The sequence below is a fragment of the Homo sapiens genome, chromosome 12 (assembly GCF_000001405.40).
Source record: "Homo sapiens chromosome 12, GRCh38.p14 Primary Assembly".
In the NCBI taxonomy this organism is placed as follows: domain Eukaryota; kingdom Metazoa; phylum Chordata; class Mammalia; order Primates; family Hominidae; genus Homo; species Homo sapiens.
The window spans coordinates 131567380-131595003 of NC_000012.12; the positions used below are offsets into that span (position 1 = coordinate 131567380).

At 51.7% G+C, this 27624-nt stretch overlaps 1 long non-coding RNA gene across 1 annotated transcript, besides 3 other annotated features; it reads right to left on the bottom strand.

Moving 5' to 3' along the window:
* Positions 7962-8537: an enhancer, noted in NCBI's record as "H3K27ac-H3K4me1 hESC enhancer chr12:132059886-132060461 (GRCh37/hg19 assembly coordinates)". NCBI's record gives its function as "activates a minimal SCP1, AML or CMV promoter by ChIP-STARR-seq in naive H9 embryonic stem cells {active_cell/tissue: H9 hESC(naive)}" and the evidence as "EXISTENCE:reporter gene assay evidence [ECO:0000049][PMID:30033119]".
* Positions 16203-24351, bottom strand: LOC105370084 (uncharacterized). Its single transcript, XR_945565.2, has 3 exons — positions 23761-24351; positions 22394-22533; positions 16203-16280 (listed from the first exon to the last, which is right to left on the bottom strand). It is a non-coding gene; the product is annotated as an uncharacterized LOC105370084 (long non-coding RNA).
* Positions 25500-25559: an enhancer, noted in NCBI's record as "active region_7364". NCBI's record gives its function as "activates an Ori minimal core promoter by ATAC-STARR-seq in GM12878 lymphoblastoid cells {active_cell/tissue: GM12878}" and the evidence as "EXISTENCE:reporter gene assay evidence [ECO:0000049][PMID:35858748]".
* Positions 25610-25699: an enhancer, noted in NCBI's record as "active region_7365". NCBI's record gives its function as "activates an Ori minimal core promoter by ATAC-STARR-seq in GM12878 lymphoblastoid cells {active_cell/tissue: GM12878}" and the evidence as "EXISTENCE:reporter gene assay evidence [ECO:0000049][PMID:35858748]".

The window sequence follows — 27624 nt, forward strand, 5'->3', positions numbered from 1 at the left end:
GCCTGTCCACCGGCACACCAGCTGGAGATGAGAAGGAGGAAAGCTCAGGCCACGGTGCTTACAAGGGCCAGCTGAACACTTGAGGACTAACTGGTTCTCCAAGAAAATCCTCTCTCCTTTTGTTTCTAATGCAAGAGACGAATGCAAGAAACATTAGGATTTGCTTGATTCATTCAAGTAGCACCAATTGTTATTCTATGGAAAACTATAGGGACCTCGTGTTTTTATTGTCTCTCCCCACTAGAAGATGGACTTTTTTAAGTGTGAGGTCCATTACACTACGATATTTCATAAAATACATACTGATGCACCATGGGCCGTGCAGCAAATCTCCTCCATTCTCAAACAGAAGGCCATGCTTCCTTTTCCTGCATCCACAGATGAAGTCATCACCAGGCAGCCTATGCACTAGGTGTGACCGCAGATGCACTCAGGGCACAGGTAGCATTTGATGCCTGTAACCAGGGTCCAGCTGAGTCCCCAGGAAACCATCTCTAACAAGAGTACAGTTTGCAAATAAAAGACACTGGCAGCCTAAAGGGGGTACACTGAGCACTCCATGCAGTCAAGTGACATTCAGTTTATTTTTTATTTTATTGTTATTTTATTTTAATTTGGGATTCAATGTCTTTAGCAGGTCATCCACATGTCCTTGCCACCCTCCCTATTGTGCTCACCTGCCCCTCTTTCCCTTAATTTCTGTTTCCTGCCTGGCCCCTGGAGACATCTGAATCTTCACCCCTTTTAGATGTGCACAAACAGATACATATACATAAAGAACTGGAAAAGACTCAGAACTGGCAAAGGCTCAGGAAGTCCAACTCAGAAAGCACAAATCAGGGGGAAAAAATAGAACTGAAAGCCCATGTACAAGCTCCATAACTACCTTCTATCCATTTCTCCATCTACCGGTCATCCATCCATCATCCATTCACCCGTTTGTCCATCCACCCACCTATTCATCCACCTGTCCATCCATCCATCCATCCATCCACCCATCCATTCATCCATACACCCATACATCCATTTATTCATCCACTCATGCATCCACCCACCCATCCATCTGTCCATCTATCCATCCACCCATCCATTCATCCATCCATCCATCCATTCATCCATCCACCCATACATCCACCCACCCACTCATCCAAACATCCATCTATCCATCCCCTATCCATCCATCCATTCATCTATCAATTCATCCATCCATTCATCCACCATCTACCCATCCATTCACCCATCCATCCATCCATCCACCCATCCAACCATTCATTCATCCATCCATCTACCCATGCATCCATCCATCCACCCACCCACTCACCATCCACCCACCCATCCATCCATCCATCTGTCCATTCTTCAGTTACTGAGCCACTGCTATGTCCCAGCAGCATTCCAAACCCTGGTGATGCACCAGAAACAAAAGGGACAAACATCCACCCTCCTAGAGATATTCTTCTCATAGGAAGGCGGCCCCTGTGGAATTATGAAAAGGACAGGTCAGACAGACCTAGGAGGCAGGTTCCAGCTCAGCAATGCATTAGCTCTGTGACCTTGGACATGAAGCTCAACGTCTCTGAACTTGATTTACTCGTGTGGAAACAACAGGACCCACTTTGTAGGGTTGTGTTAACATAATATTATCTCATCTGACTGTGGAGTGAATGATGCCACCTCAACATATTAACTCAACTTCCTGCCCTTACCTGCCCAGGGCTGTGTCCCTTCCTCCTCCAAGCACTCTCCCGCCCAGGTTCAGCATTGCAGCTGGAGGAAATGCAGCTGGCTGTCTCCCACCTCTGCCATTACACTAGGACTGTATTATTCTGTTGAGCTGGATTCCGTTTCTGCACACAGAGCTGACCACCAAGTAAGTAAGCGAAGGGGCAGCAGGTAACAGATTGCTACTGATTCCAAGAGGACTCGTGTCTAAAGTTCTCAAGAGGCCAGGCTGGATGTGGCACGGGCCCTCCTCCCTCCCTCTCCTCAGGACATAATTCCACCCCAGGTCACTGGAGGAAGCAGCCCCAGGGTCTTTTGGGGACCGTGGGCACCACACTGAGAGGGCGGGGCTCCTCACCATGGGTCCAGACATTTCAAGTCTATTTATAATTACACCTCTGACCTGCAAGATTTGGTCTGAGGCCTGCAATAGTTGGGGCTGGAGGAGGAAGAATATCACGACATGGACAGCTCTGAGCTCTTTCATGAGGTTGAGCCTCACGGGGGTGTCCAGGTCCCAATAGCAAACGTTCCGTTAGAGGATGGAAATGTTCCATAAAAGGCATCCTAGGAGGAGGGGACTTCAAGACTCTGCCCACTCTATCCAGGTAACATGGATTGGCGGACTGAGCCTCCAAGATCCCAGAAGACACATCCCATGAGCTCAGCCCAAGGGTCAAGCAGAAGAATGGTTGAGATGGGCCCTGAGCATCCAGGGAATGAGCGGGCAGCAAGATCATTAGTGATTTTATATCCCACATCCCAAAGTTGTCCTCCAAAGAAAGCAGCAGTGGCTTTTTATAAAAGCAATTAGCAGGAAGAGGGGAATAGACCTAGATGGGAGGAACCTCAAGATCCTTGCCAGGGAGTGATGAGGTTGGCCATGGAATAAGAACCAAACTCCAGCATTTCTGCCCTAGTGCTTGTGGGAACTGCCGACCCCATGAGCTCTGATTGACGAGCAGCGTGTCCCGGGTCGACCTCACTGATGAGCACACTGCACTCAGCTGTCCGGGGGGCATGGTTCATATCCCTTCCGCCCACAGCAGACAGGTGTAAGGATTCCAGAGGCCAGCCCACCTTCCCCTTCCTTGGTGTGTCTACCTCCTGAGGGACAGGTGGGTGAGGTGGAAGAGGGGCCAACAAGGAGACATCTGCTGTTCTCCAGGCAGGGGTGGGGGTCTGAGCTCGGAGCTGGTGGAGGGGGTGGGAGAGACGGACGCACTCTTGTTCTAATATTCGATCTTGGCACCGCGTCTATCTGGACTTAGTGGCCACCTGAGCCGTCCCCTCCACCCTGTCCATCTTGGAGATCAGTCCCCTTCCAAGATTTCTGTGATCCAAAAGTATTCCTCAATCCACTAGACTGCTCAGATGCATGCCATCCACTTCTACAAGCCTCAAAACGAAGTCTTCACACAGGTTAGTGGCTGAGAAACAGATGCAGTGCAGGTCTGCAGACTCTGGCTGTCGTGGGTCGAGCATGGCCAGCTCTACGGTGAGCTCCTCAACTCAGAGTTACTCACACCCTGCTACCCAAAGATCATCTCTCCTCATTTCATCCCATACGTCAGTTGGACAGCATGGGCAATCCAGCTTCTACCAGTGTTATTCTCCCTCCCTGGCGTCTTGACCCTCGCCGTGCAGTGACTGTCCACACACAGGAGCCCACATAGGGTTGAGCTGTGACCAGTTCCCCACCCAGGACAGTCAGGCTGGGCCCCTCTCCTCCTGGAGCCACAGCTGCATCCATGCCCCGCTTGCTTCCTGAGGCACATGCTTTGATTTTATTAGGAAACAAGTATCCCAAGTGCAGCCTGGGTGGGAGCCCAGGAGGCAGTCACTCCAGCCAGTGTCATCCAGGGCCCCCACGGCCCTGGGTCAGAGTCTCGCCTCCACCATTCAGAAGCTTCGTTGGCCGCCACCCTCAGGCCTTCTCTAGACTCTTCTCTCCCAGGGCCTCTTGCCCCTAGAACAGGTGGGTTACAAATCATTTAGGCTGGGTACGGTGGCTCATGCCTGTAATCCCAACACTTTGGGAGGCCAAGGTGGGTAGATCACAAGGTCAGGAGATCGAGACCAGCCTGGCCAACGCGGTGAAACCCTGTCTCTACTAAAAATACAAAAATTAGCTGGGCATGGTGGTGGGCGCCTGTAGTCCCAGCTACTTGGGAGGCTGAGGCAGGAGAATTGCTGGATCCCGATGGGCGGAGGTTGTAGTGAGGCGAGATCGCGCCACTGCACTCCAGCCTGGCAAGACAGTGAGACTCCATCTCAAAAAATAAATAAATAAAAAATAATAATCATTCAGTCTGAATTCCTCCAGAGTCTTCTGCACACTGCACTCTCACGTGCTATTCACACTCCATGTGCAAAGAAAGCAGCTGAGCGAGGCGGCTCCGGAAAGACCCTCCCAGCCTTCCTATGCGGACTCCTCCCCACACCAGGACTCCTGGGGGCTGGTTCTGGGCACCAGCCTCGATGAGGACGTTCTTACAGCAGTGAAGGGATGGGCAGTGGCCCCAGCACCAACATTCCTAGGTACCCATTCCCAAGGCCACTTCTCAGGAGACGCAGCTTTCTACAGCCAGAAAAAAAAAAAAAAAACCTTCCTTCTAGTTTATTAAACTGCTTTATAGGCTCTAACCCATGACCAAAGGAGTTTAGGATCAATATAGGTAAATTATGAATCTGCCTCTCTCTTTTTCTTTCTCCCAATCTTCTGTCTTTCTCTCAAATGGCCTTCAAATGGGAAAAAATACTGCTTTAATAACACAAAGTCCACAACAGGCCTCCCTAATACGTCTCCTTGGAGGGAGGATTAGCAGGTAATCACACTTACAACTAGAGGCACAGCCCCTGCGGGGGCGATATCAGCACCTCCCAGGGTGCATCATAGTCTTACTTCTGTACTGTCTCCATTCCTATCAGAAGGCTGATAGGTTTCAGCTGCTGTGAAATGTTGATCCACATCACAGCCTGGCTCTAGGGCTGTCCAGGGTAAGATACACGTGTGGGGCTCTCACACTTCCCAGAGCTCATTCCCCATGGAAGACACCCAGTTCCACCCGGGGTGGGGAGCGGGATTCTAGGAGCTACCCACTCATGGCCAGGGCTGCCTGGGGAGGTGACAGTCGGCACGTCCCATCCCTGGCTTCCTTTGGTCCAGAACTGCCCCTTCCAGGTTCCATGCGAGTTCATAAATGGAAGAGTTGAGCCCAGACTCCCCAGGTCCTGAATCTCAGGAAGATGCTTTTCTTACACCCACTGAGCACACGAACTCCTTCCCCTCCGTTTCCCCTTTCTCTTTAAGGGGGACGTTTTCAATGCAACCCCCAAACCAATAAGACCCTCTGGGCCCCAAGATCAGACAAACATTTCCAGGACCCGGAATGGAGAGCCAGAGGGAAGCCTCCTGGCGGGGACTCTGGTCCAGACAGGCTGTGGGCTCCTTTGGGGAGGTGGCCCCCGAGGGTCATGAGACCTATGGGCAGCTTTGGGAGTTGGCCCCCCAGGGCTGCAGGAGCAGCGCCAGCCTGGGGCGAGCTGTGAACACAGAAGACCCTCAACGCCACCTATAGCCACGAAAATGCTAAGTAAACCTTCACAGGATGCTATGTCACACCGAAATTTAAAATCTGATGCGGTGCTGTGATGCAGAGCCACCCTGACTCCTCGTGCTGCTGGTGTGGGTGTGGCCACTCTGGAGAGTGACACGGCAGACACCGGCCATCCTGATGCGTGGTCCTGTCCCCAGCCACGCGCCCAGGCGGGCACCTGGGAAACTCACATGTGTACACAGAGACACACCGGTGGGATTATGGCAGCTTTGTTTATAGCAGCAAAAATAAAAATGAAATATTTGAAACTAGCCAAATACCTACCAGGAAGAAAACTACTCAATTAACGTAGAAAATACATATAATTAAATGCTACCCCTTTGGGGGAAATTTGTTTTTGAGACTTACCCATGTGAGTGTATGAAGCTGTACTTTATTCATTTTAGCTGTTGTTATTGAGAGTTAAAACCAAAAAAGCAACTTTCTACATGGTTTATATAGACACTCATATACGGCAGAAGCGTAAGCACTTGCAAAGGAAAGACAGACACCAAATTCAAGGTAGGAGTTACATCTGGTTGGAAAAACTGAGGCAGAAGCAGAGAAGGCTTCAACTCTGCCCGAATACCGCATCTCATCAGAACACATCTCTGACGCTATCACGCTGGCCATGCTGATGGCTTCATCAGTGTATGCAAATGTCTAAACACATCAAACTGCAGATGTTAAAAACATGCAGGTTTGTGTCTATCAACCATACCTCAAGAATGCTGTTAAAATTGTGTCTGAAGGAAACATGGCCAGATGTAAATGTTTACTGGGAAAGGTAGTTGGTACGAGGCATCTGTTAGGATTCTCCGGGCTCCCTCCTAGAGGCCCCACCTTCAGAGCTGCCTGTTGCCCTGAAAGAGCTTGGGAGACCACAAGCATCTCATCAGTCACGCCCATAAAGCAGGGAAGGGGGCTACATGGTGGAAGGCCCCTGTCTGGCTGCTCAGCATCTCTGCACCCGGCGATTCCTCTCCCACTCCCCCCGGCTCCCCACTGAGCAGATTCCCCATCACCGGGTCTGAGCCAGCCGGGCCACTCCTCTCTGGCCCCTGTGTTCTGGCAGTGGCACCGTCAGGGTAGGTGAGATGCAGCGAGGCTCAGGCTGGGGAAGCACGACAGAATCTTGAACCTCCCGTTCGGGATGAGGAAGGGGTGGCCAGGGGCGGCGGGGGCCACCTTGTTCTGACAGTGGCACAGTGCGGTGGATCAGAGCTGAGAGGGGGCTTCCAGATGCGCCACGTCAGCCCTGACCAACCCATGCCTGCTGGGTTAGAGAACCCGTGAAATCGCCTTTGTGTATCATGAAGTTTGGGTCAGATTTGCTGTCACTTGCGGTCAATATTGTCCTGACTGATGCACATAGAAAGAGGAGAAAGCAGGGAGGAAATGGACTGGACGTCAACACCCTCCCCAGGATCCCAAGGAAGAGAAGCCCGTGCCAGCCTTGGCGGAGGCAGGCGCCTGGTTGCAGACCTCCAGCAGAGCCCTGGAAGCTGCATGTAATTCCTCCGTGAATGTGAAGCAACAGCCCTCAGGGAGAACAGAGCTCTTGCCCCAGTTGGAAGCTGTGCCAGTTACAGAAGAAGAGCTCGCCCTGGGGACCAAGTTCAGGAACAGATGAGAAGACGAGAGAAGCAACGGCAACATGGCCAAAAGGTCAGGGTGAAATGGCAGGAAGCTGGCAGGTCCCCACCCACACCAGCCTCAGGACAGGGCCCTGAACAGGGCGGGACTCGGTGCAGGGGGTCTCACAGCTGAAGCCCTGCTCCACCCCTCAGACATCAGAGCCCATCTGGATCCTGAATAAGCAGCCATAAAGGAGGCTGGTGCTGTCAGAGGCGGAAAGCAAGCCCCTGTCTCGGGGGGGTAGCTCACAGAGCCCAGTGTTCCTGGCCAGAGCTTTTTCCAACGTGCGGTGCACCAGCAACCCCCGCTCAGCTCTGCTACCGTGAGCCCCTTCTCTACCAGCAACCCCCGCTCAGCTCTGCTACTGTGAGCCCCTTCTCTCCAGGTCGTTTGTCTTTTCTGCTCTGATAAAGGAGTGTCCTGTGCAGAGCCCAGGAGCTGGAGGTTTTCAGGTCAGAATTTGCCCTGCAGGGTTATAAAAGACGTGATTTCTGAAGCACCAGGAGGAGATCTCAACATAAACCATTTCATCCGAAAAGTGAGAGGAATATAAGAGCTTAGAAGGATCCTGTCTCAAAACAAGTTTGAGTTCTTGTAAATCTGAGCCTCAATCCATTGTCCTCAAAAAAAGAATGTCCATTCCTTCTCCGAACAGTCACCTATTAGCTGAAAAATATTAAGAGAACTCCAGGAAATCTGAAACCCACAGCTGTTACCAACACTGCCTGACTTGTTTACACAGAGGATTTTCAATGGAAACTGTCTGTTTAAATGTAACTGCCCAAATCATATTCCAAATTGAATAATGTAAAAAAAAATGAAGTGAAGCCTACAGTATCTGGAGTTGACGGCAAACAAGGTGGGGTGGGTGGATCCGGGCACTGCTCAGAAGGCCCAGCGCAGGCTGGCCCTGCTCGCACGCAGACCTGAGGGACCTGAGCACACCAAGGCTCTTCCCATTTAGAGTTGGGGACTTCAGTCATGTAGTGGGTCACCAAAGGCCACAGGGTGGGGGGAGCACTGTCCAGCTGGGACAGACAGTGGTTCCTGCACAGACTCAGAGCATCAGCAGCCAATGAGTGATCTGAACACTTGGACAAGTGGGCCACCCCACTTTTCAGAGGGACAGGACAGACCTGGGGCAGAGGAGCACCTCCCTGGGTCACACCTGGGGCAGCAGCAGCCTCAAGTGGCCACAGACTCAGTCCCGCTTCTCCAGGCTCTGGGCTTTGGGCAGAGCCCCGTGCTCACACCTCCCATGCTGTCCCCAACCTGGAGCAGGCATTGTCCACACTGACCCCAACACCCAGAGGGTTTCAGCCTACGCAGGCAGGGCACAGTGACTGCGGTGTTCACAGACATAATCCAAGCAGAGAGGCTCAGTGCCCACAGACACCAGGGGATAAATGAATGGTCAGACAGATGGCAGGGCAGGAACGCCATCTCTGAGATGCAGGGGAAGAGAGTAAACAACAGCAATAAAAAGACAGCGTGGGTTATAAAAGAACCAGGGCTGGGAGGCAAAGAGGAATTCTAACACACGGCTTCCCCGTGCCACCTGCCACCTGCCCTGGGCTCAGCGCACACAGGCCCCCCTGTTGCTGTGAAGACGCTGATCTAAGAGGACAGGGGAAGACCAAGGACTCCACGCTGCTGGGTCATTTTAACCCCTCCACACAGGCCTGGTGACCGTCCCCGTGTCTCAACAGTCGGAGCAAAATGCACAGAGGAAAGGGGTCAAATCCCCAAAAGATGCAGTGAGTAAGACCCACTGCAGTGAGTGAGAGCCAGTGCAGTGAATTAGACCCGGTGCAGTGAGTGAGACCTGCTGCAGTGAGTGAGACCTGCTGCAGTGAGTGAGAGCCGGTGCAGTAAGACCTGCTGCAGTTGAATAAGACCTGGTGTAGTAAGACCCGCTGCAGTGAGTGTGACCCGATGCAGTAAGACCCAGTGCAGTGAGTGAGAGCCGGTGCAGTGAATTAGACCGAGTGCAGTGAGTGAGACCTGCTGCAGTGAGTGAGAGCCAGTGCAGTGAATTAGACCCGGTGCAGTGAGTCAGAACTGCTGCAGTTGAGTAAGACCTGGTGTAGTAAGACCCACTGCAGTGAGTATGACCCGATGCGGTAAGACCCAGTGCAGTGAGTACGACCCGGTGTAGTAAGAACGGGTGCAGTGACTATGACCTGGTGTAGTAAGACCCAGTGCAGTATGACCCAGTGTAGTAACACCCGGTGCAGTGAGTCTGACCCAGTGTAGTAAGACCCAGTGCAGTAAGTATGACCTGGTGTAGTAACACCCAGTGCAGTGAGTATGAACCTTTGTAGTAAGACCCGGTGCAGTGAGTGTGACCTGGCGTAGTAAGACCCGGTACACTGACTATGACCTGGTGTAGTAAGACCCAGTGCAGTGAGTGTGACCCAGCGTAGTAAGACCCGGTACACTGACTATGACCTGGTGTAGTAAGACCCAGTGCAGTGAGTGTGACCCGGTGTAGTAAGACCCAGTGCAGTGAGTGTGACCCGGTGTAGTCAGACCAGGTGCAGTGAGTGTGACCCAGTATAAGACCAGGTGCAGTGAGTGTGACCCGGTGTAGTCAGACCCGGTGCAGTGAGTGTGACCTGGCGTAGTAAGACCCGGTGCAGTGAGTGTGACCCGGTGTAGTAAGACCCGGTGCAGTGAGTGTGACCCGGTGTAGTCAGACCAGGTGCAGTGAGTGTGACCCGGTGCAGTAAGACCCGGTGCAGTGAGTGTGACCCGGCGTAGTAAGACCCGGTGCAGTGAGTGTGACCCGGTGTAGTCAGACCAGGTGCAGTGAGTGTGACCCGGTGCAGTAAGACCCGGTGCAGTGAGTGTGACCCGGTGCAGTAAGACCCGGTGCAGTGAGTGTGACCCGGCGTAGTAAGACCCGGTGCAGTGAGTGTGACCCGGTGTAGTCAGACCAGGTGCAGTGAGTGTGACCCGGTGCAGTAAGACCCGGTGCAGTGAGTGTGACCCAGCGTAGTAAGACCCGGTGCAGTGAGTGTGACCCGGTGTAGTCAGACCAGGTGCAGTGAGTGTGACCCGGTGCAGTAAGACCCGGTGCAGTGAGTGTGACCCGATGCAGTAAGACCCGGTGCAGTGAGTATGGCCCATTCAGTGAGTAAGACCCAGTGCCCTGTGTGAGGCTACAAGGGTGAGCCCTGCTGCCCCACACCTCTCTAGGAGCTAACCTAAGAGGGCCAGAAAGGGCCTGGCTCACATTGCACCACGTCAAATGACAGAGATTTAAATCACAAATATGTTTTTACTAATAAGAAAAAATAAGGAGGTGGGGCACCTGCTTAGTGATAAGATGTAATTTGCAATGGCTGTAGCATGGATGAATCTCTCAGCAATAACCTTGCATTTCATAATTGTACAAAAATAACTATGAGGATAAAAACCATATCTACAATATAATTACTGTTTTATAAAATGTACGTATGCTTGTAACAACTAAACGGTCCAGTGTCTAGAAAGCTGTGTGTTTCTCCTTGCTTCTCTTGTGAATGACATTGATCTTATACAACTGCCTCTCAGTGGACAATCAGTCACTGTCAGGGGCCTCTGCAGTGAATCCGTCTTCCAGTGTCTTCAAACAAGGAACTCAGCCAGCTGATTGAGAGTGCCTGTGTTCAGGAGGGTGGGGACTGAGCCTTTGAGCCTGGCTTCTGGGTCCCTGGGGCATCTAAGATCACCTGCTTTGTCCCTGGCCCTCCTTCAGTTGAAACGGAAGACTCCACGTTATTTGACTTTCCACGCTTTTTTTCTTCAATTCCATGAGCTTCCAATAACTGACACCAATCAGCTGAGCCTGTTTCTGTTGCCTTCAAACAAAGGATGCTGAAGATCTGGCACTGACCTAAATTTTTGAAACTGAAAAAGTCTCACTACTTCTCTAATGAAGTTCTCTGCTCCGGGACGGTGAGAATTGAGTAAAGAGGCTGGCAGAGAAGTCCAACAAGCAATGGCTTGTAACCCAAAATGCACACTGTGCCTGCCACTACTGTTAAAAGAAAGAAAACAATAATAGAATTACTCTTTTCTAATACGTAAGAACTTGTACATCACTCAAAAGCAAGGGGAGAACAAGCTCCTCTGAAGTAACACGGCACTGTTCTGCCATCCCTCAAAATAAAACGATGACAATAATACACTGAAAATTCCAAATGAGGCACAAGATTCAATAGCCCCCACATTCTACAGCCCACCAACAGCACATGTCCATGTCCCTTTCCAGATCCGTAGGAGACCTCGCCCCCATGGGGACGGCACAGAAGGTGAGGAGCCAGCACGGGAGGGCTGGGCTGGTGAGGAGGTCTCTGGCGAGAGCTTCTCGAGAGTTCCACCAACACCCCCAGGGGGAATGGAGGGGATGCTACCGACCAGCATGTGAGCAGTGCCCTGGAAGGCACGTCTGTGGAGATGGGGAAAGTGGGTGCATTCCAGGGAAATTCTGGAGGTAAAATCACAGGTTATTAGAAGTTATTAAGGGACTTCATCAATGAAAGACTTTTGCTCTGGAAACACCCACTTGGAGTGGAGGAAAAGATAAGCCACAGACTGGAATAGAAGTTTTACAAACCACATATGCTACCAGAGGACTGGCATCCAGAATGTGTACTGCAATCTCTCAAATCTCAATTGTTAGAAGTACAAACACTCCAGTGAGAAAACAGACACGAGCAGACGTCTCACGGAAGACAACAAGCAGATGTCAAAGCAGCCCACGGAAAGGTATTCAGCATCACCAGCCATCGGGAACACGCACATTAAAACCACCGTGAGGCCCCACCCTGCACCCATCAGAAAGGCGAAAATAACACACAGCGACAATCCCAAATGCTGCTGAGAATATGGAGGGGCTGGACCACTCATGCTGTTGACAGGAGGCTGAAATGCTGCAGCCGCCCTGGAAAACAGGTTGCCAGTTTCTTATAAAACTAAACATACAACAATCATATGGTCCACCAACTGCCCTCTTAGGCATCTGTCCCAGAAAAAAAAAAAAAAAAACCTCACACACACACAAACACTTACACAAAAACATGAATGAATGCTGTCAGCAGCTATGACGGCACAGCACTTTGGCAAAGTATTATCTGAGGGGAAACTGGGCAGTGTGCGTGGGCTTTCTCTGCACTGTGTCTGTCTCTGCATTGTGCCTGTCTCTGCACTGTGTCTGTCTCTCTGTACTGTGTCTGTCTCTGTACTGTGTCTGTCTGTCTCTGTACTGTGCTTCTCTGAACTGTGCCTGTCTATCTCTGTACTGTGTCTGTCTGTCTCTGGGCTGTGCCTGTCTCCGTACTGTGTCTGTCTGTCTCTGTACTGTGCCTGTCTCTGAACTGTGCCTGTCTATCTCTGTACTGTGTCTGTCTCTGTGCTCTGCCTGTCTCTGCACTGTGTCTGTCTCTGCACTGTGCCTGTCTCTGTACTGTGTCTGTCTCTGTACTGTGCCTGTCTCTGTACTATGTCTGTCTCTGCACTGTGCCTGTCTCTGTACTGTGTCTGTCTGTCTCTGCACTGTGCCTGTCTCTGAACTGTGCCTGTCTATCTCTGTACTGTGTCTGTCTCTGTGCTCTGCCTGTCTCTGCACTGTGTCTGTCTCTGTACTGTCTGTCTCTGCACTGTGTCTGTCTCTCTACTGTGTCTGTCTCTGCAGTGTCTGTCTCTGCACTGTGTCTGTCTCTGTGCTCTGCCTGTCTCTGTACTGTGTCTGTCTCTGCACTGTGTCTCCCTCTGCGCTCTGCCTGTCTGTGTACTGTGTCTCTCTCTGTACTGTGTCTGTCTCTGCACTGTGTCTGTCTCTGCACTGTGTCTGTCTCTGCGCTCTGCCTGTCTCTGCACTGTGTCTGTCTCTGCACTGTGTCTGTCTCTGCACTGTGTCTGTCTCTCTACTGTGTCTGTCTCTGCACTGTGTCTGTCTCTGTACTGTGCCTGTCTCTGCACTGTGTCTGTCTCTGCACTGTGTCTGTCTCTGCGCTCTGCCTGTCTCTGTACTGTGTCTGTCTCTGCACTGTGTCTGTCTCTCTACTGTGTCTGTCTCTGCAGTGTCTGTCTCTGCACTGTGTCTGTCTCTGTACTGTGCCTGTCTCTGCACTGTGTCTGTCTCTGCACTGTGTCTGTCTCTGCGCTCTGCCTGTCTCTGTACTGTGTCTGTCTCTGCACTGTGTCTGTCTCTCTACTGTGTCTGTCTCTGCAGTGTCTGTCTCTGCACTGTGTCTGTCTCTGTACTGTGCCTGTCTCTGCACTGTGTCTGTCTCTGCACTGTGTCTGTCTCTGCGCTCTGCCTGTCTCTGTACTGTGTCTGTCTCTGCACTGTGTCTGTCTCTCTGCACGGTGTCTGTCTCTGCGCTCTGCCTGTCTCTGCACTGTGTCTGTCTCTGCACTGTGTCTGTCTGTCTCTGTACTATGTCTGTCTGTCTCTGTACTGTGTCTGTCTCTGTACTGTGCCTGTCTCTGTACTATGTCTGTCTCTGCACTGTGCCTGTCTCTGAACTGTGCCTGTCTATCTCTGTACTGTGTCTGTCTCTGTGCTCTGCCTGTCTCTGCACTGTGTCTGTCTCTGTACTGTCTGTCTCTGCACTGTGTCTGTCTCTCTACTGTGTCTGTCTCTGCAGTGTCTGTCTCTGCACTGTGTCTGTCTCTGTGCTCTGCCTGTCTCTGTACTGTGTCTGTCTCTGCACTGTGTCTCCCTCTGCGCTCTGCCTGTCTGTGTACTGTGTCTCTCTCTGTACTGTGTCTGTCTCTGCACTGTGTCGGTCTCTGCACTGTGCCTGTCTCTGCACTGTGTCTGTCTCTGCACTGTGTCTGTCTCTGCACTGTGTCTGTCTCTCTACTGTGTCTGTCTCTGCAGTGTCTGTCTCTGCACTGTGTCTGTCTCTCTACTGTGTCTGTCTCTGCAGTGTCTGTCTCTGCACTGTGTCTGTCTCTGTACTGTGCCTGTCTCTGCACTGTGTCTGTCTCTGCACTGTGTCTGTCTCTGCGCTCTGCCTGTCTCTGCACTGTGTCTGTCTCTGCACTGTGTCTGTCTCTGCACTGTGTCTGTCTCTCTACTGTGTCTGTCTCTGCAGTGTCTGTCTCTGCACTGTGTCTGTCTCTGTACTGTGCCTGTCTCTGCACTGTGTCTGTCTCTGCACTGTGTCTGTCTCTGCGCTCTGCCTGTCTCTGTACTGTGTCTGTCTCTGCACTGTGTCTGTCTCTCTACTGTGTCTGTCTCTGCAGTGTCTGTCTCTGCAGTGTCTGTCTCTGCACTGTGTCTCCCTCTGCACTCTGCCTGTCTGTGTACTGTGTCTGTCTCTGCACTGTGCCTGTCTCTGCACTGTGTCTGTCTCTGCACTGTGTCTGTCTCTCTACTGTGTCTGTCTGTGTACTGTGTCTGTCTCTGCACTGTGTCTGTCTCTCTACTGTGTCTGTCTCTGCACTGTGCCTGTCTCTGCACTGTGTCTGTCTCTGCACTGTGTCTGTCTCTGCGCTCTGCCTGTCTCTGCACTGTGTCTGTCTCTGCACTGTGTCTGTCTCTGTGCTCTGCCTGTCTCTGCGCTCTGCCTGTCTCTGCACTGTGTCTGTCTCTGCACTGTGTCTGTCTCTGTACTGTCTGTCTCTGCACTGTGTCTGTCTCTGCACTGTGTCTGTCTCTGTACTGAGTCTGTCTCTGCACTGTGTCTGTCTCTGTACTATCTGTCTCTGCACTGTGTCTGTCTCTGCACTGTGCCTGTCTCTGCACTGTCTGTCTCTGCACTGTGTCTGTCTCTGTACTGTGCCTGTCTCTGCACTGTGTCTGTCTCTGCACTGTGTCTGTCTCTGTACTGTGCCTGTCTCTGCACTGTGTCTGTCTCTGTACTGTGCCTGTCTCTGTACTGTGCCTGTCTCTGCACTGTGTCTGTCTCTGCACTGTGTCTGTCTCTGCACTGTCTGTCTCTGCGCTCTGCCTGTCTCTGCGCTCTGCCTGTCTCTGCACTGTGTCTGTCTCTGTACTGTGCCTGTCTCTGTACTATGTCTGTCTCTGCACTGTGTCTGTCTCTGTACTGTGTCTGTCTCTGCACTGTGCCTGTCTCTGCACTGTGTCTGTCTCTGCACTGTGCCTGTCTCTGCACTCTGCCTGTCTCTGCACTGTGTCTGTCTCTGCACTGTCTGTCTCTGCACTGTGCCTGTCTCTGCGCTCTGCCTGTCTCTGCACTGTGTCTGTCTCTGCACTGTGTCTGTCTCTGTACTGTGCCTGTCTCTGCACTGTGTCTGTCTCTGCACTGTGTCTGTCTCTGCACTGTGCCTGTCTCTGCACTGTGTCTGTCTCTGCACTGTGCCTGTCTCTGTACTGTGTCTGTCTCTGCACTGTGTCTGTCTCTGTACTGTGTCTGTCTCTGCACTGTGCCTGTCTCTGCACTGTGTCTGTCTCTGTACTGTGCCTGTCTCTGCGCTCTGCCTGTCTCTGCACTGTGTCTGTCTCTGCACTGTCTGTCTCTGTACTGTGTCTGTCTCTGCGCTCTGCCTGTCTCTGCACTGTGTCTGTCTCTGCACTGTGTCTGTCTCTGTACTGTGTCTGTCTCTGCACCGTGTCTGTCTCTGTACTCTCTGTGTCTGCACCGTGTCTGTCTCTGTACCGTGTCTGTCTCTGTACCGTGTCTGTCTCTGCACTGTGTCTGTCTCTGTACTGTGTCTGTCTGTCTCTGCACTGTGTCTGTCTGTGCACTGTGCCTGTCTCTGCACTGTGCCTTTCTCTGCGCTGTGCCTGTCTCTGTGCTGTGCCTGTCTCTGCGCTGTGTCCGTCTCTGTGCTGTGTCCGTCTCTGCACTGTGTCCGTCTCTGTACTGTCTGTCTCTGCACTGTGTCTGTCTCTGCACTGTCTGTCTCTGTACTGTCTCTGCGCTGCGTCTGTCTCTGCACTGCGTCTGTCTCTGCGCTGCGTCTCTCTCTGCACTCTGCCTGTCTCTGTACTGTGTCTTACAGCAGCATGTGAATCTCCGACCATTACAGCACAATGTTAGAAAGAGGCACTGTTTGTTTTGCATGATTCTGATGTACACCAGTGTCAGTTGGCAGGGTTGAGTTAATTAACTCTTTTCCCCCAACCACGTGGCTGAAACTTAATTTACCATGGTACGTTAAATGTAATTAACTGCACAGAATACAGAGTGCACTGCTGGGTATAGCCCACACATGGCTACGTAAAGAGCTGATGCAATGATGACAGGTGACGAATCCCATCACTTCATCCGACGTCCCTCAGTGGCGGCTCTCTGTGCCCGCTACTTGGTTCACACCCACGAGGCAAAGCGTGTACCTCAGCTGCCTTCTTATCTCTTACTGAAATGAAGCAGAAAAAGATCAAAATAAGCCCAAGACAAAAGGAAAGAAGAAGTAGAAAGCAAAACACCAATGAAATTGTAAACAGAAAGACAATAGAGAAAATCAATGAAACAGAAAGTTGGTTCTTTCCCCCTAGCGCTATTGAGATACAATTAACAAATAAAAATTGTATACATTTGTGGTTTGTAACATAATGTTTTGACATAACTTGATATGAATGTATTTAATTTGTGAGAAAAAAATTGGTTCTGTGAAAAGATCAGTGAATCTGACAAATTCTAGAAAGACTGAAAAAAACAGTGAAGAAACAATTTGCCACTATCAGGAATAAAACAGGGAATATCTCTACGGACTCTGCAGACATCAAAAGCATAATCAAAGGATGCTTATTAACAACTCTCTACACAAATTTTACAACTACATGAAATGGGCCAGTTTCTTCAAAAGCACAAATTATCACAATTCAACCCAATATGAACTAGATAATTTGATTATTTCCATACCCATTAAAGAAATTGAATTTGTAATTAAAAATTGCTGAAAAAGAAATTTACAGGGGAGATTATTCCACTGGAGTCTCCTACCAAAGGTTTAAATAGAAATTAACACCAATTTAAAACAATGTTTCCAGGAAAGACAAGGTAAAGAAACACTTTCCAAATCACTTCAGGGGGCTAGCTAGTATGACCCAACACTAGGTAATAGACAAAGACAATACAAAAATAAAACAAAGGGCAATAACCTTCAGGAATGTAGAGACAAAGTATTAGCAAGTAGAACTCATCAATACCGGGACACCGTGACGGGAGGAGGGGAGTATTTAAGGGATGTAAGAGTGGCTCCACATCTGAAAATCAACCAGTGTAATCCGTCGCACCGTTAGAGAAGCGACACCGTTTTCAGTTCGGCTCCATCTGGAGACTAACAGGGCAGTTCCTCGCCAGTCACAATCCATGGTCCTCAGATGCTTGCAGTTGAGGAAACCACCTAAAAACACCTACAAGGACACAGTCCTCTGACAGTGACGAGTCCAGACGTCCCGGTGCCCATAACAACATACGCTTTCAAGATAATAAGTTATGCCTCGATGTACTCACACACTAAAATGTCAAGGGTAGTTTTCTTTAAATCAATAGAATAATAAAATTGGTCGCACGGTCTGCTCACCGTCACGTAGCCCCAGCTTAGTCTTTACAAAGACAAGACCCCATATAAGAAAAACTTAAAGACGGTGTGTTCCTCAGCTTGCTTTCTGAGGGCGCCCTCCTCTATAATGAAGGAGTTTCCAATAAGCCTGCTCCTTTCACTGCTTTCACTGGCCTGGAATTCCTTCCTGCACAAGATCCAGGAGCCCTCTCTTCGCGTCTCATCAGCCCTCTCTTCGCGTCTGGATCAGCCCTCTCTTCGCGTCTGATCAGCCCTCTCTTCGCGTCTCATCAGCCCTCTCTTCACGTCTGGATCAGCCCTCTCTTCGGGTCTGGATCAGCCCTCTCTTCGCGTCTGGATAGCCCTCTCTTCGGGTCTGGATCAGCCCTCTCTTCGGGTCTGGATCAGCCCTCTCTTCACGTCTGGATCAGCCCTCTCTTCACGTCTGGATCAGCCCTCTCTTCACGTCTGATCAGCCCTCTCTTCGCGTCTGGATCAGCCCTCTCTTCACGTCTGATCAGCCCTCTCTTCGGGTCTGGATCAGCCCTCTCTTCGCGTCTGGATCAGCCCTCTCTTTGGGTCTGCCCTTTTCAGGTACCACTACTAGGTTAAAGAATGAGGATACACATCACACACCAGGGACTGTTGTGGGATGGGGGAGGGGGAGGGATAGCATTACGAGATGTACCTAATGCTAAATGACGAGTTAATGGGTGCAGCACACCAACATGGCACATGTATACATATGTAACAAACCTGCACCTTGTGCACATGTACCCTAAAACTTAAAGTATAATAATAATAAAATTAAAAAGAATGAGGATATGATCGTACCAACTGATTCAGAAAAAGACCCAGGAGTGGTGTTAGGAACTGTGTCCTCCCAAATTTCGTATGTTGAAACCTAACCCCCAAGGTGATAGTTTTAGGAGGTGGGGCCTTTGGAGGTTATTATGATGGCAGCAGTGACTGTCCAGAGTAGAAGCGCCTGCGGGAGCAACAGTAGCGGTGGTGGGACCCCTGTGTCCTGTGTCCCCTGAGCACCATTCCCACCCTTGCACAGCCAGGCAGGACCTGCCCCCAGGCCCAGCGCCTCCACTGCTCCAGACCCTGGCCCCGAATCACTACTGTCGCACACCCTGCTATGGGGAGGAGGCCTACAGTCCCCAGAGTCCACCCCAGGAGCCCCCCTGGATCCTACTACCCTGGGGACCACTGTGATGGGGACCAGGCCGAGTCACCCTCCTGCAGGCGAGCCACACAGTCAGGCACTAAGGGGCCAGCAGAGAGGGTCCCCAAGGCAGAGCTGGGCTCGGAGTGGTGCCATGGTTGCACACAGAGCACGCTGGGGCTGGGCCCAGGGCGTGGAGCTGGGGCTGCACTTTAGGGGCCAGGAGTGGGAAGTGGGAGCGGCATCCACTTCAGGGATCCAGCCAGCAGCATGGCCACAATGCTCACCCTGCAAAACGTGCTGGATTCCTGCACCTTGGGAGGCGGCTCTGTGTGGGCCACCCAGTGCTGTTTCCCAGGGGTCCAACCTACATCGGCAGGGCCACTGAGCCTGATGCTCCCGAAGGATGGGCCTGGGGCCCATGATCCGCTCCTGAAGATGCCCCATCCCGGGCAGGACCACAAGTCACGCAAGGGGGAGCCCCTGGTCACCCCTGAGCACTGGGGCCATGGGAAGAGCTCCTGCCCTGAACCAGAGAGAACCTGGAGCCACCACCCCAGGCCTCAGGGGAGCACACTGGGGGCTGCACGCTCCACAGAGCCAGTGGAGCTGGGGAGAAACGGGAGCCCCTGGGTGCAGCTGCAGCTGTCCTGCCACCAGCACAGACCCAGGCATTTCTGCACTTACAGGAGGCCCAGGTAGGCCCCCTGCCCCGCTGTGGGATGAAGGGTGCCTGCTCCAGCTGCTTGATTTCTCCTGTCAGTACCTGCTCTAATCTCAGATCTAGGTCAAGGCTGAGCTGGGCACTATCACAGCCCAGCCAGGTGTGCACACACTTGGGGTAGCACTGACACACCAACCCCTTGCTGCCCTGGGCACCTCCAGACTTTGGGTGCTGGCAAGAGCAGTGGGGAAGCCAAGTTGGGGGCTGAGGGCAGCTTGGCCCTGGCCTGCACGTGCCTCTTGACGTGAGCAGCCTGGGTACCATGGACAGTGACAGGAGGCAGAAGACTCCTGGGAGGAAGGGGCCCCTGGTAAGGCCTGAAGGCTGGGGGCCAAGCTGCCAGTCCCACAGACCCGAGAGGGAACTTGTGGTGCCTTTTCCAGGCCAGCCCATGGCTGCCCATGGATCAACTGGCACTTCCTTCTCTCTGAGGCCCATAAAAGCCCCAGGCTCAGCCAGAACAGAGCAGACAAAAGGACGACCAGCTGCAGAGAGGAGCTACCTCCCTGCTGATAGCTGAACACTCACTGGGATGACCTGCCTCACAGAGAAGATCCACCCTCTCTGCTGACAGCTGAGCACTCGTCGGGACACCGTGGCTGTGGAAAGGAGCTGCCCCCTGTGTGTCTCTTCTGAGCTGTTCTACTGCTCATTAAAGCTCCTCTTCATCTCGCTCACCCTCCACTTGTCTGCGTACCTCATTCTTCCTGGTCACAGAACAAGAACTCAGGACCCACTGAAAGGTGAGACTAAAAGAGCCATAACACACACAGAGCTAAGACATGCCCCCTGCTTGCCACATTGTAGGCAAAGAAGAAAGGAATAGCTGCAGCCCTCAGGGACCCCAGACCTAGGAGCTCCCCAAGCCAGGGCTATGACTCCCTCTTTGGGGCCCTGTGGTTCTTGGTGTCTCCAAGCTTCCAGTCACCACCACATTCCCCAGTGCCAGCCAGGGAAGCTGCTTGTAGTGTGCCTGGTCCAGCCGCAGCTTCACAGAGAGCCAGCCCCCATGCCGGCACCTAGAGCTGCCCGCCTCGCAGCAGCAGCCGATGTGTCTGACTGCACAGTGGCCAGACCCCACCCTTGCTCACACACCCCTCCCTGCTCCATGCCTGACTCGAAGTCTCCCTTGGAGGCACGGGATCCAGGCTGGGAATGTGAGCCGAGTGCCGTCTGCCAGGCTGAGTGGGTGGAACAAGCCCAGCGTGTCCAAAAGCAACTCAGGCAAAGGCACTACAAGCCACAGGTTTCCGGCCAGAAAAGTGACATCCCAAAGATCTCATGACAATTAGACCATGAGCACTGAGCCCTCATGATGGGATCAGCAACCTCATGAAAGAAGCATCACAGAGCTCCTCATCCCTTCCTCCTCGGGAGGACACAGCGAGACGGCACTGTCTATGACCCAGGAAGGGTGGGCCCTCCCCAGATACCAAAGCCTTCATCTTGGACTTTCCAGCCTCCAGAACTGTGAAAAATAAGTGCTTGGTGTTTAAGTCATCCAGCCTATGGTATTTTTCTTATATTAGCCCAAACTGGCAAAATGAATACAGTGGAGTGGAGTGGAGTGGAGTGGGGTGGGGTGGGGTGGGTTGGAATGGAATGGAATGGAATAGAGTAGGGTGGGGTGGAGTGGGGTGGAATGGAATGGAATGGAATAGAGTGGGGTGGGGTGGAGTGGAGTGGAGTGGAATGGAATGGAATGGAATAGAGTGGGGTGGGGTGGAGTGGAATGGAATGGAATGGAATGGAATGGAATGGAATGGAATGGAATGGAATGGAATGGAATAGAGTGGGGTGGGGTGGAGTGGAGTGGAGTGGAATGGAATGGAATGGAATGGAATAGAGTGGGGTGGGGTGGAGTGGAATGGAATGGAATGGAATGGAATGGAATGGAATGGAATGGAATGGAATGGAATGGAATAGAGTGGGGTGGGGTGGGGTGGAGTGGAGTGGAATGGAATGGAATGGAATAGAGTGGGGGTGGGGTAGGGTGGGGTGGAGTGGAGTGGAGTGGAATGGAATGGAATGGAATGGAATGACCCTTGCAAGCATACTTCTGTGATATCACTTCTATCTATGGCATATGTTGGGATTCTCTTTAACAAATATCTCGGGAAGGTCACAGCCTGAGAGTCAACAAGCATTTCGTGAACGTGTTTGGCTCCACGAGTTGTGTTTTCAATAACTGCAACAATCATCACACAATTTCTGTGAGTAAATGACTCACTAAATCAGGCAGGAAGAAACTTTTAATTTTTATTTATTTATTTTTTTAGAGACAGGGTCTCGCTCTGTCACCCAGGCTAGAGTGTGGTGGTGTCACCACAGCTCACTGCAGCCTCGAACTCCTGGGCTCGAGTGACCCTCCTGCCTCAGCCTCCCAAATAGCTTGGATTACAGGTGAGCACCACCACAGTTGGCTAATTTTATCTTTAGTATAGATGGGGTCTCACTATGCTGCCCAGGCTGGTTTTGAACTCCTGGACTCAAGCAATCCTCCTGCCTCAACCTCCCAAAGTGCTGGGATTACAGGCGTCAGCCACCCTGCCCATCCGGCCCAGAAGGAAACTCTTCTAAAGTGAGTAGGTTGTGCTCATCCACATGACCAGTAACTTGGTCATTCTCATCCACTGAAAAATAAAAATTCAATGTAGAAATGAATTAGAGTTATGATGCGGCAGAGCAAACCTAAGCTCTCACACGCGTTTCTCGGGAAAAGGCATTGCTTCACTCACCATCAGTGATTACACAATATAACTGAGAATTAAACTGTTTACCCCCACTTCCCAAAAAAGCCTCTCTCCTCTAAACACAAGCTCTCTATTCAGAGAAACATTCCCAGTTGCTGCACAAACCATATGAAAGCTTCAATCTGGCTTCAGATGCTTTTTACTGAATGCTAATACCCTGAGACCAGCCCTTATCACCAATAGTGGGGCTTCTTTGCCACAGATCAAGAAGACGAAAGACCTCCTGGGGGAGAAGAATGCCAGTTCAGGCCAGCAGCACCACCATCAAAGATTCTTTATAAGATCACATGGAAAACCAGCTCAAAGAGAAACTCACCTACTTGTGCTGAGACGGCTGGTGATAAGGGAAGCACCTCGTAAGTCCTGGGAGAGTCGGTTGCTGGTGATTCCTCCAGGGAAATATGGTAACTGGTTGCAAGCACTACGCAGCCTCTTCAATTCACTGCCTCAGCAATCCTTGGAAATAAAAGGGAAATTATTACAAAATGGCAAAGGAGGGCAATCAGCTACAAACTGGGTTTGGAATTTAATATTAAAGTTCAAATTATTGAAAGAGTGATCTCTTTTGGGTGAAACTTTCAGTGCTGTTATTGAATACCAACTCCACTTAAGCCTCTATTCTGGCACCTGTAGGGGATACCAAGAGAGCTGAAATATAATCCTTGACCACAAATAACAGACACTCTAGTTGAGGCCCAGCAGGAAGGCACAGGCAGCTGTCAAGGAACAGAAAGGGTCAAAGCAATGGGGAACAGAATCTAAGCAAAGGAGCAGGCTTCCAGGAAGCACACAGGGACACCCCACAGAGAGAGCACTGGAGCCCCTTGGCCACTGGTTCACTGGGGGACTGGACTTAGCCAGGGCAGTAGTAGAGTCCAGAGCCCCTGAACAGACAAAGTCCCTCAGCCAGCCCACAGCCAGGCTGTTTAGCAAACATTCCTAATGATTAAATATTGTAAAATCATCCTTTGGAGTTACCCAAGCTAATGAGTTGTCTGGATTCAGGAAGGTGTCCTTCCCCCCCCCCACCCCCAGGGCAGAGTCACATGCTTAAAATGCACATTGCCAGGCCCTCACATTCCCCTTCTGTAGGTCTGGAGGGGGGCTGGACTCTGCACTATTTTCCCAGGTGCTTCTGATGACAGTATCCTGAGGATACACTTTGAGAAACGCTAGCCCAGAGCCACTCCTGCAGGAAGAGACAGGACAACCAGCGGTCACAACTGCAGGCATCAACTGGTTCCTGAGGGCTGGCAAGTGAGCACTGAGGTGTCACAGTGGGTGGGTCACAGGGAGGACCCTGGAGGAGGGGATGAGAAAGGGAAGACTGGCCTCTCCTGGGAAGATGAGCTGCCACCAAAACCAATTCAGGTGGAGCAAGCCAGCTATGTTCCCCGATGGGCTCCTGCAGGAGATGTGGGTGCTGACACTTGCTATATGAACACTTAGAACAGAAGGGCCATGAAGTACCAGATTGTCTCACAACACCTTGGAAAAGCAGGTTTAGACCAAGCTGACCCCAGCTGACACTAGGAACCCGATTCTGCCCCACTGATTCCAGAGATACCCGAAGGAGCTGCTGCTTCTTAATTCCTACCCTGATAGTCACACAACATGAACTTGGCTCCCAAGTCCCCAGGAAATGCGTACCGGATCCTGAGTGCACAGCACGACCAAACATACCTGCCATGATTCTAACCATTCCTTTTCTCCAAAATGTGGCTTTGCATGAAGAATCGATTAGGAAAATGGAGAGACTGATCTCAGCCAATGATGTGCGAGGCGCTTGTGTCAGGGTTGGGGTAGGGAAATCTGACCAATAGCCATTGTTCCTCAGCTAACTTCCTCCCCTCTCTCTACCTGACCCTGCCCCCTGCACACCTGGGGCTCAGAGGATGCTGAGGACAGTTCCTCCCTGCCGGGAGGAGGAGCCCTGGACCATGATCTTGGGCTCACTGCAGGTTGCTGCCTGGAGACACACACATGACCGTGTTGGCCGCTTCAGTCAAGCCCAGCACAACAGGACTGCCCTGAATAACAACTACAAAAGACTGAAAATCACACTTGCTTCAGAGTCGTAACAGCTGGACGCATTGAATGCATAAAAACAAATTTAAAGGTTTTGTCCACATCCTGCTGAAGCAAACAGAAAGCGGCATTTATTATGCCCGTGGTGTCTATCGTGGGTCAGGCTCTGTGCTCCTAACGACCAGATGACGCGGTGGATGTTTGCACCACTTTCTCAGGTCAGGAGGGGGCCACAGAGGGGTCACGCAGCCCAGTCACCAGGGCCATGCGGCTCCACGGCTTCTACGCTTGGGCACTGAGGACCGAGGGGTTCAATCAGGTCCCAGCTCCAGTCCAACCTTGGAAGCCAAGTGTTGGGAAGGGAGCATCCGAGGACAGACAGAGCCAGGGCCCCTGAGTCACTGCAGGAGGACGCCCCCGCTGGGACTCGGCGTCCGCTGCGCTGAGCCGCTAAGGAGCCGGTCTACTTGCTCCCGCAGCAGCCCGGGGGCCGGAGCTGCCGACACCAGGGAGACGCGTTTTCTGCACTGACTCCTACGCTCCCGCGTGGACATCCCCAGCATGATTTCTGTCTCCACCCACTTCGCACACACCCCGCCCCGGCCAGACACCCCCAAACCCACACAGGGTGCAGGGACACCGCCCTGGCCTTGGCTGTGGCTGTCACACTCGCCTGTCCCGCCTTGGCCCCAAGTCCTGCCAGCCCGGCTCCGTCCCCGCCCCACTCCCAGTGGCTCTGTGCCTGCCTCCCTCCCGGGCTCTGCCAGCCCTGCCTCTCCCGCCACGCACAGCTCAGGCGCCTGTGGCTTGTGCGGGGATAACTTCTAGGACACAGACTTCCGGAAGATTCTTTCCCAGCCAACACTGCCCCACCCTTCCGGTGGGAGCTCCCAAGTGGACAGACAGGAGAGGAGCTTCTTTATGATTGGCTGAGCCATCCAGCCAATCCCACTCCCCTTGGTTAGTGATTGGCCCAGGGATGGTCATAAGACTCAGCTAAGACCAATGAGATGCAAGGAGCTATCTGCAAGGGGAACCATGAGAATGATATCCCCTGATAAGGAGGGAGGCCCAGCCAACCCCTTTTTCTTCTGCTGGCCGTTGTAGGTTGGGGCAGGTGCTGGGGGCCTGCAGCCGGGTGGAAACAGTGTGGCTTTACCTGGGACTAAGACAAATCCCCCGAGGTGGTACTTCCAGTGCTAAAACCATAAGTCCAGACAGACCTGCAAATGGGCCCCAGGCGGGAGGCAGAGCCTGGTAGGCAAGCGAGACCCTGCCCCACCGAGGACTGGATTCAGGCCTCCCTGGAGTCACCTGCCTCTGAGCTTCTTGTCAGGCAGAGTGAGCAAATGACCTAAGCCTATTTTAAGCATATTGTCCTGTTACTTGCAGCCAAAAGCATCTAAGACCTTATGACTTATGAGCTAACGATCCCCTTGTCAAGGTGTTAAAACCGGTTTGCAGAGATAAATAACTTGGCCAAGGATACAGCCCTGGGAGTGATGGAGCTGGGAGTTAAACCCAAGGCTTTCTGACTGCAGAACCACTGGACTCCCGCAGCTCCATGCACGGCCCTTCGCGGTGCTTCTCAGTGGCCTGCCTTTGCCCTCAACCCTGAGCCTCTTGAGCCTCTTCAAAGCAGGAAGTGGTGCTTAGTCATCCTGAACCCCCAGAACCTAGCATGTTCTATGTCTAAATGAGTGAATGAAACCTGAGCAGTCTAACTAGCTTCCCTGGCCTCACACAGGGAGGTTTCTGGGTGCCTCCCACCACTCTGGGGCCTATTGAACACACGTCATCATGTGTTTCTTTGGATCCGTCTTCAGCAAGGAAAACAGAAGAGAAAACCCTTAAAAAGTGCTCACTTATGTGGCAGACACTGATCTATGCCTTTTACACTTAAGGACCCATTTGATCATCACAATAGGCAGATGACATTTGGGATTGGAATGCATCTAGACTGGTCTAGGGAAGGTGCAGGGAATATGCTCCCCAGGGGATGTAAATGTTAATAGAACTCTCTCCTGAGTCCCCCAACAATCGAATGTCACCTTCACCAAGGCAGGGACTGAACTGCATGCATGATTGAGTAGCAGAACCTTCCTGAAATGCTGCATTGCGAAGAGGAGACGGAGGCTCTGTGTCCTTGAGCTGAGAGGTCCTAATGTCAAGGGTTTGCTGTGACAGTTACACAAACCAGAAACAATGGCACCTCTTCCCAATGTTATTAAAACAGTAAACTATCAGGAAAGGATTTGAGGCTTTCCATAACAAATACAAGTGACATCTTGGTCACAAAGTGACAATTCTTCAAATCCTAGGCAATAAAATACAGTAGATTGATATCCATTTTTCTTTTAAGGACACTATATTTTGTTCTTATGTCACTTCTGTGAAAGGAAATGAAATCTGTTTTTCTCAGTGGAAGCTGGAAGATGAGAATGTCAAAGGCTACAAGGCACACATGCTGCTTTTCCCTGCCAGTGGCTGTTCCCTCTTCTGAGACCAGTATCTCTGGTCCCTCTCTGAGGAGTCCCCTTTCCTCCACATCTTTGGGATGAGCCTTACTGCAGGACCGTGTCAGAGGTGGATTTTGAACCCGGCTCACACCAACCAGCGTCTACATTTCATCCCATCTCTTCTTCCCCAGTCAAGGTGACTGGCTCATGGAAGACACATGGACAGTTACTGACAAAGCTGGACCCCCAAAAGATGGGGTCTTTCCCTGTTAGTGTTGGGTGTCACTAACCCAATACATGAAACCAAAAGTGTCAAGTAGTGCAGGTGTTATTCAATGGCCATGAAATTGACAAACGGAAGCATCACTCACAAGTCAACTTCTTGACATGTGAGGGGTGGGGGGTTAAAATATAGGGTTTCTCTAATGAAGGGGTTGGACATTAAAAGCCAGAGGAGGGCCGGGCGTGGTGGCTCACACCTGTAATCCCAGCACTTTGGGAGGCCGACGTGGGTGGATCACAAGGTCAGGAGTTTGTGACCAGCCTGGCCAACATAGTGAAACCCCATCTCTACTAAAAATACAAAAAAAATTAGCCAGGTGTGGTGGCGCATGCCTATAGTCCCAGCTACTCAGGAGGCCAAGGCAGGAGAACCACTTGAACCTGCGAGGCAGAGGTTTCAGTGAGCCAAGACCACGCAATTGCACTCCAGCCTGGGTGACAGAGTGAGACTCCGTCTCAAAAAAAAAAAAAAAAATTGCGAGGGGCCGGGTGCGGTGGCTCACGCCTGTAATCCCAGCACTTTGGGAGGCCGACGTGGGTGGATCACAAGGTCAGGAGTTTGTGACCAGCCTGGCCAACATAGTGAAACCCCATCTCTACTAAAAATACAAAAAAAATTAGCCAGGTGTGGTGGCGCATGCCTATAGTCCCAGCTACTCAGGAGGCCAAGGCAGGAGAACCACTTGAACCTGCGAGGCAGAGGTTTCAGTGAGCCAAGACCACGCAATTGCACTCCAGCCTGGGTGACAGAGTGAGACTCCGTCTCAAAAAAAAAAAA